Here is a 13749-nt window from a genome sequence, read left to right as displayed (position 1 = left end):
CAGAAAAAATATAGTGAATAGGATAATTCAACCACAAAAATAATAGGCCTAATATAATGAACATATATTAAACCTAGCATTGAATAATTAAAGAATAAATATTGTTTCCAAGCCTGAAACATTTATAAATTTGACCACCTACTGGTTCACAGAGGAAGTCTCAAAAATATTAAAGTAATCGCTATTTTATAGACCACATTCACTGACAAAAATGCAATAACATGTGAAATCAAAACCCAAAAGGTAGCTAACTAAAATTTGTAATAAATTCATAGAAGCCAAGATTGCACCACTGTACTCCACAAAGGGAGACACCATCTCAAAAAAAAAAAAAGAATATTGATAAGTCTAAATCACTGACCACCATCTCCAAAGACAATGTAGAGCTATTATTTCTATATTGTTATTAAGTATCATCTTAAATTATCTGCATGTTTGAATATAAAGTAAAAAGGTTTACTACAGGAGGAAATAAGATTAAAAGATAACAACAAGTGAAAAGTACTTTATCGGTACTAATGGAAATACCATTAAACAGTTACCATAAATCACAGAGATTCCTGCTGAAAAAAATTAATTCTTTTTCTACTTTGTTAAATATTCCACAATGACTGAAATGAACAAGTCAGTATTTACCAAAATGCTCTCTGCCTTCCTAGTATGAGCCTTTGATAAAATGTGATGGAGAAGAGCACAGCATTTGGTATAACAGGATCTAGAGTTAAGTGCTTATTCTGGCACTTACTGGCTATGTCATTTTTGTAAGTCACCTGACCACTCCAATAGCCAGCAAGTCTGGTGTAAACAATAAATATTTGTGGCCTAAATAACTATTTGGCATTTCAAGGTCTTCTTTTGTTAAATGATGCCAAAAAATATCTACCTCAAAGTATTTGAGGGAAGATTAAATAACATTTCAGAAAATATCCAACTCTGCTTGCCAATTAGTTGTTCAATCATTGTTTACCTATGGACCAGTGTCCAGATTCTACCCTTTTTGTTTATAGCATATGACCGAGGGAACTTAGCATTCTGGTATAGTAGGAGCTTGGGTAGTACACTAGTTTCCTAGGACTGCTGTAACAAATTATCACAAATGGAAAAACAAGAGAAATGTATTATCTTATAGTAATATAGGATAGAAATCTGTATCTGGTGACACATTAAAATTAGGGACCATCTCCAAGATGATCTCATCTTACTATCCTTACCTTGATTACATCTGCAAAGACCATTATTCCAAACAAGGTCATATTCTAAGGTTCCAGATGGATATATCTTTTTGGGGCCACTATTCAACCCACTACAGGTAGATACTGTAATATTTACCTATCCCATCCCTTCCACCTCTCTCACTACTGTTGCATAGCTGATTCTCCTATGTTGTCTAGCCTAGTACTATTCAGAGTAACGGCCAGAATTAGCTTGATAGAAATGCAAATTTTTATGCCCACCCTAGGCCTACTGAATCAGATACTCTGGGACTGGGCCCAGGAATCTGTGTTTAAATAAGCTCCTTAGATGACTCTCAAGCAAATTAAAGTTTTTGAGGCACTAATTTAATGCTTTCCACCTATCCACACAAATATAACACTAGGTGTCACTGATTTTAAATAAACCAAATAAGTATTAATGCTTTCCTTGTTGAGTGTAAAAAACAATGTGGTTACATGGAAAGACTATATATATATATTAAAAATATATATTTGTTAAATATATATATTATATATTATATATATAATATATATATTTAATGATAATTAGGATTGCTGACTGGAATGGCAAATGACAGAATTGCCTTTAATTGCAAAGGACAGAAAATCCATAGAACTGTGTTTACATTAGATTTATATAATCTGCATAAACTGACTTGACATTGCCCATTTCCTTAAGTCACTATTCAGCTAAATGAAGTTTTCTTTTTTAATTTTTAAACAAAAAGAATGAGTCTGTTAGTTCTTTTAAATGCGAGGGTGTGAAATTTTGATTCAGTATTTTATGCTCAGGGAAGACATAAATATGTTTTGTAATCTTCTTTTGAGAGTAATTGTCAGTCAATAATCACTAAAGAGCTGCTTGCTTTGACAGAATTTCTAAAAGTGAATCTGTGTGCTTTGAATAATGTACACAAACTCCTTGTTAAAAGTCATATAAAAGAAAAAGCCAATATCCTCATTTCCCTTTGAAAAATCTGCTTAGAATAAGGATGAAAACTAGTTACATGTAGCACTGCAAATGATGGTTATTACTTAATCTGAGTATCCAGACAGTAGAGATAATATAGTTAAGTCTTTGGGCCTAGACAATGATTGCTTTCAACTTTCCTTTGAAAAAGAGGGGAGGATTAAAATGATCATTTGGTGGCCCTATTTTAGACACTATTTCAATAGAAAGAACACAAATCTAGTGTTTCTTATATAAATGTCAATCATCAATTGCTACATGCTCCAGTCTAGTCAACCTTTAATAGAGTTCTGCATTCCTATGAGATTTGAACAATGTGAGAGACCAGTCCCTGGCAATAAGACTTATAAATATCTTGCCGTTCCCTGCACTCTCTTCTTCAGCCATGTGTAAGTTTACAATAAAGCACTGTGGATTTCTCTGCTTTGAGGGGCTTATCAAAGAGAACACTGGAGTGTGTATTCAAGCAGTGAGCTGAGACATGAGAGCACTTTCCCTAAAAATAGCAGTTGATCACCAGCCCACCCTAAACAAAAGGCATAAAAGGGCTTTGATTAACACTTACAATCCTGGCTGAGGATAGGAGTACCAGGAAACTTCAAGGAGCTCTATGACTTGGTGCTTCACTAATAATTTTTAAAGCCTTACATTTAATTTATTTTTTAGCGGTCTTTGACTATATATACCAGAGATAGACCATGAAAATCCAGGTATTTCTTTTTGTAATAGAACAGATTTCACTTATAATTATAAAGAGTTTAAGAATACTAAGGACTAATCCAGACAGGGTGTCCGGGGAGGGACGAACCCCATGGAAAGCAGAATTTGTGACACAGTTGCTTAGCTGATTGAATAAAACCAGTAAATTAGATTATTTGACCTCTAATTGTAGACTTTTTGAAAATCCAAATCAGTTGAAACAATTCCTACTTGGGTACAGATTTTTCCTAAGAACAACAGATATCTTAGCAAGGGGAATGCTGGGAGAACATACTGTTTTTAGGGAAGACTTTCTAGAATCTATGTGTTTCAATTAAATTCTAAAAAGCTGATGCAGAGAATATTCAGTGGTTATAGTATCCACATTATGCTATTTTTCTGGACAAAAGAATGAATGTCAAATGTTTCATTATTTGTTTTATAATTTTTCTCTATATCAGCTAGAATAGTAAGGATAACCAGCCTGATTATTCAACCCATGGATCATTGTCAAATGCTTTAAGCATTTACCTTCAGTGTGATGCATAAGAAGATCTCTCTCATACATAGGAATAGACAGACTCTCCACAATAGCACAACTAAAACATTTAAAAATTATTTTTAAAATGTTGTCTAGTATAGTAGAGTATAAGTTTAAGATGTATCTCTAATATAAATATTTCATGATACGGCAAATTATTTCTGGAACAAAGTGAAAGAATTATTGTTATTATTATCATTATTTGAGATAGGGACTCACTCCCGTCACCCAGGCTGGAGTGCAGTGGCGCAATCTTGGCTCACTGTAGCCTGAACTTCCTAGGCTCAGGGGATCCTCCCACCTCAGCCTCTTGAGTAGCTGGGACCACAGATGCACGCCACCACACCTGGCATAATTTTTGAATTTTTAGTAGAGAAAAAGTTTCACGATGTTACCCAGGCTTGTCTTGAACTCCGGGGCTCAAGCGATCCACCTGCCTCAGCCTTCCAAAGTGCAAGGATTATGGGCATGAGCCACCCTGCTTGGCAAAGTAAAGGTATTAACTACATAAACAAAAAGACAAATAGCATCTCAAAATCATTATAATTTTAAATAATTTTAGAAGTAGTAATTTATAGGTTTTTAAAGAAAGAAAATAGGTCTGTGTCATTTAACATAAATGAAAAGTCAAAAGACTTGTGGACAAAAGCCAAATGCTTATAAATTTGAAACCGTAGGCTTGAATTCTGCTATAAGCCAATTTTCTTTTCACTGACATTGTATTTTTTCCAGTGATATCTCTCCCCTTTGCAAGCAGAATAGTAGTGTAACTATTAGGCATAGAAAAATCACTTAATATAACTAGTGTAATTGCTACAATCTATAAAATACAAACTCATTATTCAAATTCCTATTCTATATTATATCAATAACCTATTGATTGGTAATACTGGTTTTGGTTTTGATGGAATGGAGTGAAGATGATGATGGTGAGCAAGAAATATTCCAGACTTCAGAGGAAACTCAGATTCATTTTGTGTGGAGTCTGAAGTTGGAAACAGGACTTATGTGTCTCTGAATCAGAGAGAAAGGATTACATTTTCAATAAATATAATCAGCAAAATGCATTGAAGAAAACTGCATACCACAACCTTAGGTCCAAATAACAAAGGACAACATCTGGCAGCTGTTCACCATTTGATAACTGGTACTTGAGGAAGATTTTGTTTCTTAAAAAACGGCAGCCACATTTTGTGGAATCATATTTCTTGCTTTCTGGCTCAAAGTTAAAATATAGAATAGAAAACAGGGAGACTTATGGTTGAAAAGTTTCAAATTTTTAGAATCTGCAGCACCAGATTTTAAGTATCATCAAATTCAAATTCCAAGTAAATTAATCTCAACTGAATTTTTAAATGGGCATTATGTACGGAGAAAAATTAATACAAAACTAGTCATTATAAACAGTGACATTCAAAAAGGATACTTTTGGGTTTGCTTTTTAGTAATAAGGATGAAAACAAGTTTTAAACGACTAGAGAAAATCACAGATAGATAAACCTCAATTTTTGTTTACCAAAAACCAGATTTGCATAATTAAACTCTGAATTTTCTCAGACAAACCGCTCACTGCACTGGGAAAGAAACACTGGTTTAGGAAGGCATCACTATACCCCTCTCCACTTCTACTTTCTTAGAACAGCCCCTTACAACTGCAACCCTAGCGACAATAAGCAGCCCAGCAGCCCTGTGGATGGAAAAACTTCCCCTTATAGCTAGTTGCTAGCCAACATTTCTTACACTACTTGCCCTATGAACTCGGGGAATAATGTGGTCTTCGCACTACAACATACTATTGTTTTCTCTCCAGGGGAGAAAAACAAATGAGTTTTCAACTCTGCTATACTCACCCTTGACACGCATTTACCCTGTACTTCTCAGCTCCTCCCACTCCCACTGGCCATTTTGTGAAAACCACAAGTAGGCAGTTTGGCTGAAGACAGATCCATGAAGCAAAAATCAAATATAAAAAAGGGTTAAGCAAATATATAAGTCTCAACATAGACTTTTTCTTTTTTAACTTAAGGAGCAAATACAATAATCTGCACCGGAAAATTGGTATTCTGAAGCAAGGGATTCTTTGCTTGCCTTCATAAATGGTGTATAAAAGGATTTGGAATCAGAGATTTATCTATTTTCTCTAATTGTAATATTTTACTACTAATTGTTATCCTATAGAACTCCTATAGACTTTAATTCAAGATAAAAGAGGTAAATCTTGCAATTTAATCAAGCAGGGTTAGTTATGAAGTTACTAAAGAGTATCTTGTTAAAATCACCCTCTGGAAGGGCGTTTTAATACTGCTCTGTAAGGAGGCAGTTTCCCTCTACAGATTTTGAGCATAGGGCAAATGAAATTAGTATGAAAAGAACTTTCTGGTGGGATGTGGGTGGCTCATGCCTGTAATCCCAGCACTACGGGAGGCCAAGGTGGGAGGATTATTTGAGCCCAGGAGTACCTTGTCTCTACAAAAAAAATACAAATATTAGCCAGGCATGGTGGTGCACACTTGTGGTCCCAGCTACTTGGGAGGCTGAGGCAGAAGGATCATTTGAGCCCAGGAGGTGAAGGCTTCAGTGATCCGTGTTCACGCCAGTGTATGCCAGCCTGGGCGACAGCCTTGTCTCAAAAAAAGAAAAATGAACTTTGTATGTTAAGATTTACACTGATGATTTAAAGTAATAAATGGATAAAATGGATAACAATTTACATGAGGAAACTTTCTGGGTAAGGAAAATTCTTTATTTTGATTGGGGATGATAGTTTTATGAGTAAATATATTTAAGAAAAATTTATCAAACTATACACTTAAGATCTCTGCATTTCACTGTGTTTAAATTTTACTTCAATAAAAAAATAAATTATGAAAAAGTTGAGTCAAGTTGGCTAAATAAAATTTATAGGAGGTCGTCGTTGTGGACTGTGCCCCTGCACTAGGCTCCAATAATCCAAACCAAACTAGAATGGAGTCACTCGCACTAGGTGTCATGTAATCAAACTGAACTGAGACATAAGCCTGTCTTCCAAAAACCAGGAGATTTCACAGCAACCAATAACAAGGGTCCCAGTCAATCTGAGCTGGCATAATAAGAAAGTCTCTTCTGCTTTAAGCCACACAAGGAGAGTAACTTGAAGTAACCTGATGTTAACCAATCTCATTTTTTGCACAATGCTGTTTCCTTCTTCCTGCTGGAGCTGCCTTACAAAAGCTGATCATTCTGCTAATCCCAGCAGAGCACCCTTCTATTTCATAGATAAGATGCTGCCAGATTCATGAATCGCTAATAAAAGTCAATTAGATCTTTAAACTCAACTTGTTGAAAATTTCTTCTCTGAAAACTGAAAGAAAACTATAGTAATAGTACTGAAAATGGCAAAATGGTGATGGAATACCTGAATGATTCAAGTCTGGGGAACACTGGCCTATGGAAAGGTGAATGATGCCCACAAAGTAGAATACAAAAGGAAATTAAATGGGTTTTGAAGCCTGACTGCAACTCTTCCCAAGGGGTTCTGCTCCTTGCTATTCTTTTCTGAGATTTCTCTCTGCCTAGGGCTAGAACCCAGCAGTAGGAATCTGCTATAATATATTTATCTTCTGGGAAGGATGCATATAAAGCCAAATAAATTAAGTGAGTTGCAGTACATGAATTCCATATTAATAGCAAGCTTAGCAATTACCACAAATATCCAGACATCTAGTCATAAAATGTAAGCAACTTATCCTGTTAATTGGGCTAATGAAAATTTTCTGCTTGTTATGAAATTTTTTTGTAATAACTTTGGAGAGAAATACTTTTTATCAGAAAACATAATAGCTGAAATTCCTCATATCGAAATGTATAAATCAAGAAAATGGTCCTTAATTTTGTTGTTCAAATAGTAAGTTAAATTATTGGCATTAATAAGTGTTAGGGAAAAAGATACACATAATTTCTGTAGGTAAACAAAAAATTAAAAAACAGATCCTTTTCCAGTTGGTAATAATATCTGGGATAGAGTTAATTAGAAATATGTAAAATTCTCTATTGAAAAAACTAAATAAAAATGGATAGAGAACCAAACTATGTTTCTACATGGATGCATGTAGTATTATAAACATGAAATTTTTCCCTAAATTAGTATATAGATTTCTTTTACTTCACATCATAGAAACAACAACAAATTATGATGTAAACTGGCAACAACATCTTTATTATACTAATACCTGTCAATGACAATTACGGCATTTGCAAGCACTGATGGTGAGAGCACTTCAGCATAATCCTTCTACTGGGAATTGTCCTTAAAAAAACAATTCCATGAATAGGGTAGGAGAGGAAGCTATACTGATAAAGCTTTTCATCAGTGTTACCAATAACAATAGAAGAAAGGTTAAGTGAATTGTGAAACATATTTTATATTAATAAAAGAGCAGTCTTTTAAAGCATGTCAAAAAAACACTGAAATCCCCAAAAGAGACAATTTTACTATATAAATACAGAAAAGGAACTACAAAACATTTAAAAGGAAAATCAGAAAATGTTTGTAACATATCAACAAATTATTAATAACTAATAAGTGTCTATGCCTACAAATCAATCAGAAAAAATATAAGCCTAAGAAAAAATGGGTAAGGGTATAATTAGGCAATTTTCAGAAGAAAACCCAGGCAATACCATTTAGGAAATAGGCATGGGCAAAGACTTCATGACTAAAACACCAAAAGCAATGGCAATAAAAGCCAAAATTGACAAATGGGATCTAATTAAACTAAAGAGCTTCTGCACAGCAAAAGAAACTATCATTAGAGTGAACGGGCAACCTACAGAATGGGAGAAATTTCTTGCAATCCATCCATCTGACAAAGGGCTAATATCCAGAATCTACAAGGAACTTAAACAAATTTACAAGAAAAAAACCAAACAACCACATCAAAAAGTGGTGGAAGGATATGAACAGACACTTCTCAAAAGAAGACATTTATGTGGCCAACAAACATATGAAAAAAAGCTCATCATCACTGGTCATTAGAGAAATGCAAATCAAAACCACAATGAGATACCATCTCACACCAGTTAGAATGGTGATCATTAAAAATTCAGGAAACAACAGATGCTGGAGAGGATATGGAGAAATAGGAACGCTTTTACACTGTTGGTGGGAGTATAAATTAGTTCAACCACTGTGGAAGACAGTGTGGTGATTCCGCAAGGATTTAGAACCAGAAATAACATTTGGTCCAGCAATCCCAGTACTGGGTATATACCCAAAGGATTATAAATCATGCTACTATAAAGACACATGCACACGTATGTTTATTGCAGCACTGTTCACAATAGCAAAGACTTGCAACCAATCCAAATGCCCATCAATGATAGAATGGATAAAGAAAATGTGGCACATATACACCATGGAATACTATGCAGCCATAAAAAAGGATGAGTTCACGTCCTTTGCAGGGACATGGATGAAGCTGGAAACCATCATTCTCAGCAAACTAACACAGGAACAGAAAACCAAACACCACATGTTCTCACTCATAAATGGGAGTTGAACAATGAACACGTGGACACAGGGAGGGGAACATCACACACTGAGGCCTGTTGGGGGGTGGCTGGCTAGGGGAGGGATAGCATTAGGAGAAATACCTAATGTAGATGACGGGTTGATGGGTGCAGCAAACCACCATGGCACGTGTATACCTATGTAACAAACCTGCACGTTCTGCACATGTATCATAGAACTTAAAGTATAATAAAAAAAAAAAGGCATAGCTAATCCTAACTGTCTAATAGAACTATGATACTATTGTAAGTCTGAGAATTTAAAATTTTCTTAAGTCCTGACTTCCTATGTCATTCTAAGGAGAAATTTGGAAGAAAAGTACTAGCATTTATTAACCACCTATTATAATATAGTAACTATATGTTATTATAATTGCTTTGTATATTAATGTCTATAAAAATCATACAGGGTAATTATTATCACTGCCAATTTAGAGAGATCTGATTAAATGAGGCTAAAAGATGTTTAGGTTAACTTTCCTAAGGTGACACAACAACGAAGTAGCAGAACTAGCTCTTGCAGACAGAGTTGTCTCAATTATAAGTTTGTATTCTTCCACCACAGTACACTGTTTCCTGAATACACACACACACACACACACACACACACACACACGTATATATGTATATAAATATATATACATACATGTACATATCTATTCAAACATCTTTCAAAATCTATTACAGGTAACACCATCAGCTGGGTACACTATTGTTTTTTAGTCCTTATTTTATTATTTATCTTAGGCCCACTTGACTCAGATATTTATTATATCTATTAATTCTGGCCTGCACAAGTATTATGATATTCTACAGATACTTAATGAGCTGTTGTAAATATCTTATAGTTCACGGGATATTAGAGTAGGAAGGGACTTACAGAATCTAGACCCACTCCTTTTTATCAAGTGGAACTCAGAGAGATTAGTGTGACTTACTCAGAGTCTCTTTCATTCAGACTGCTGCCAGTGGGGCAGAGGTGATCAGGCAGGTGCACGTGTACTACACACCTCTATCACACATGGCTGAAGAGCTAAAAAAGGGAGTTAAGTGAAGGGCAGAAGCTTGTAGATAGAAGTCTCATACTTGACCCCAGGAATGCCAATCAAAATAGGCACTTAGGAATAGTATTGAAGATGGCAACACTCTTAAATCTTGGTTCAAAGAGGTGGCAACAACTGATACTACAACTCAGCACAGGCCAACGCATAACTTTAACAACTTATTCCTCAAGGTCCACTCCTGATTCAAGGGAAGCAGGGAAACACTGTGAGTAGCTTTGATCCATCAATTCTTCTTTGGGATCTATCCTATAGAAATAATAGTACCAGCATTTAAGGATATATATCCAAGGATGTTTACTAAGTCATTTCTTATAGAAGCACCACACCACACCGGGAATTTGAAAACATCTACATATTCATCAATATATGACTGGTCAATAAAACTTTGATACATCTACTATGGTATGCTATGCAGAATGTTAAAAACAGGTCTATATTTGTTAATCTAAAGTATTTAAATCTATAGAGTAACATATATAATAAGATCTCATTGTAAAAAAAAAATCACAAAACATTTACACGTATATACACATTTGTTTATATAAATATATAAATATTATCTCTGGTTCACAAGTAAGAAAACAGGCATAGGGATGTTGACCACTGCCAAAAACACAATGCAAAGATGGATGATAAAAAAGTAAATAATTGATTCTAGAGCCTCTCACCCTGGGTTGAAAATCTTAACAGTTTGTATTTTGTTTATTTCTATAAATACTTATGTATTATATAAATAATGTATTATATAATGTATATAAATACCCTGTATTACATAAATAATGTATTATATAATGTATATAAGTACTTACGTATTTATATAAATAAACAAAATACAAACTACTAAGATTTTCAACCCAGGAAGAGGGGCTCTAGAAGCAGTTACTTACTTTTTATCATCCATCTTTGCATTGTGTTTTTGGCAGTGGTCAACATCCCTATGCCTGTTTTCTTCACTTGTGAACCAGAGATCGTATTGAATATGCCCCATAATTGCTGTTGGAATAAAATGAAACAACATGTATGTAGTGCCTGGCACTTAGTAATTACCTAATATATTTTGCCATTATCTTTTGCTTTCATACCAACAGCTTTCTTTTATACATCTATAATATTTTATATAAAACAGGCTGTCTTTAAAAATATTATGTTCAATATCTATAAAACCAAACTGTAAAGAAAAATAAAAGCTACCTTACTAAGTGAAATTAACATTCAAATCTTAATGAGGCTACCTTGTCAATATTTTAATAGGAACTAAGAAAAACTAATTAAGATTAAATAAAAATATCTAAAAGTTCCATGTGGCTAGAGTAAGTTCCTTAACTTCTCTAACCACAAATGACCTTCTTTATAAAACAATGATAATAATGTCTGCCTTGTTTTCCCCTCGGGGTCTGAAGTGAAAGACAATGTTTGTGGAAATGTTTTATAATCTTGCTAGCAACACTAAAAATATTTCTAAATGTTTATTTTTAAAAATTCAGTGAAATCAATGCATTTCATGTATCTCTATTAATTTAGTAAGTAATATTTAGTTTTAAGACAAAAGCCATCTCAAATTTCCTGTTACATATCTGTAAATTCCTTCCACGGTTTCTCGGTAACTACACTTTTACCTTTTATGGCTAAATATGTAGTTGAAAATGTTACCAAGTGTTCAGTAAAATAGTCGATAATTTCGAGAACCATTTAATTTGTCTATTCTATGACAGTTTGCCTCTCTATAACAAGCCTTCTCATTCCTTGGCTTTTAGCCTAACATGCTGTGTTTCAGTATTATTTTGTATTAACTCAATATAAAATTATATTTGTAGTTTGTCGAGTCCAGCAGAACATCCAAAATCATCCCAAATGTTGGACAGTTGTTTTACACAGCCCTGTTCCATGCATCTCAGAATATCTAGTGTCTCTAATCCTTGCCTAGTAAAACACCTTGTATTCTCCAAAATTACTATAACCCACAGCATCTCCAAAAATTTCTTAAATGTCCCCTAAGACAGTATCTCTCAAACTATCTGTGGTAAAGGATCAGTTTTTTCCCCAGTCTATCTGAGATCCATACTTTTATTAAATAAAATAAAAATGAGTTACTAGAGAAAAAATTAAATAAAAAACAAAGACATATTAAAAAATACAAGCTCCATTTTATGCTATCAGATTCAACAGACAAAAAAAAATTCTATCAAATTACCATACAAGTTCATAAATGATTACTCTTACTTTCTGTACATATCTCATTGCAGACCAACAAATAGTTTAAAGGTCAGATCTGGCCCATGGCACTGAGCCTGAGAATAGTATTGCCTTTGTTAAGAACAACTGGTACAAATAAAAGCAATATATAGAAACACTAGTTACTATCTTTATAGTCTTTGATTCTAAATATCATTTAGCAAAGATTGAAATAAACCTATCCACATTAACAATACTGCACTACTTCACATATTCCTGTCTAAATCTCCAGATGAACACACAAGACCTATATCCTTTCTTTTATAAAGGGCAACCTTGTTTTCTATGATATTGAATTCCTCTCTGCAAAGGAGCTGAACATTATTCAGCCAGTGAAAAGCCAAGATTCCTGCTGTTTTGGTTACTGTAGCCTTGTAGTATAGTTTGAAGTCAGGTAGTGTGATGCCTCCAGCTTTGTTCTTTTGGCTTAGGATTGACTTGGCGATGCGGGCTCTTTTTTGGTTCCATATGAACTTTAAAGTAGTTTTTTCCAATTCTGTGAAGAAAGTCATTGGTAGCTTGATGGGGATGGCATTGAATCTATAAATTACCCTGGGCAGTATGGCCATTTTCACAATATTGAATCTTCCTACCCATGAGCATGGAATGTTCTTCCATTTGTTTGTGTCCTCTTTTATTTCCTTGAGCAGTGGTTTGTAGTTCTCCTTGAAGAGGTCCTTCACATCCCTTGTAAGTTGGATTCCTAGGTATTTTATTCTCTTTGAAGCAATTGTGAATGGGAGTTCACTCATGATTTGGCTCTCTGTTTGTCTGTTGTTGGTGTATAAGAATGCTTGTGATTTTTGTACATTGATTTTGTATCCTGAGACTTTGCTGAAGTTGCTTATCAGCTTAAGGAGATTTTGGGCTGAGACGATGGGGTTTTCTAGATAAACAATCATGTCGTCTGCAAACAGGGACAATTTGACTTCCTCTTTTCCTAATTGAATACCCTTTATTTCCTTCTCCTGCCTGATTGCCCTGGCCAGAACTTCCAACACTATGTTGAATAGGAGAGGTGAGAGAGGTACTGGTACCAAAACAGAGATATAGATCAATGGAACAGAACAGAGCCCTCAGAAATAATGCCGCATATCTACAACTATCTGATCTTTGACAAACCTGAGAAAAACAAGCAATGGGGAAAGGATTCCCTATTTAATAAATGGTGCTGGGAAAACTGGCTAGCCATATGTAGAAAGCTGAAACTGGATCCCTTCCTTACACCTTATACAAAAATCAATTCAAGATGGATTAAAGATTTAAACGTTAGACCTAAAACCATAAAAACCCTAGAAGAAAACCTAGGCATTACCATTCAGGACATAGGCATGGGCAAGGACTTCATGTCCAAAACACCAAAAGCAATGGCAACAAAAGCCAAAATTGACAAATGGGATCTAATTAAACTAAAGAGCTTCTGCACAGCAAAAGAAACTACCATCAGAGTGAACAGGCAACCTACAACATGGGAGAAAATTT

The 13749-nt window shown here is 34.5% G+C and overlaps 1 protein-coding gene across 4 annotated transcripts in view, besides 1 other annotated feature; it reads right to left on the bottom strand.

Moving 5' to 3' along the window:
• ZCWPW2 (zinc finger CW-type and PWWP domain containing 2) overlaps positions 1-13749 on the bottom strand; it is a 177638-nt gene that overhangs the window by 18533 nt on the left and 145356 nt on the right. The gene's annotated exons all lie outside the window — the stretch shown is intronic.
• Positions 2116-3048: an enhancer, noted in NCBI's record as "OCT4-NANOG hESC enhancer chr3:28546269-28547201 (GRCh37/hg19 assembly coordinates)". NCBI's record gives its function as "activates a minimal SCP1, AML or CMV promoter by ChIP-STARR-seq in naive H9 embryonic stem cells {active_cell/tissue: H9 hESC(naive)}" and the evidence as "EXISTENCE:reporter gene assay evidence [ECO:0000049][PMID:30033119]".

This window comes from Homo sapiens, chromosome 3 (assembly GCF_000001405.40).
Source record: "Homo sapiens chromosome 3, GRCh38.p14 Primary Assembly".
Classification (NCBI taxonomy): domain Eukaryota; kingdom Metazoa; phylum Chordata; class Mammalia; order Primates; family Hominidae; genus Homo; species Homo sapiens.
This window is presented reverse-complemented; position numbering and strand designations above follow the sequence as displayed.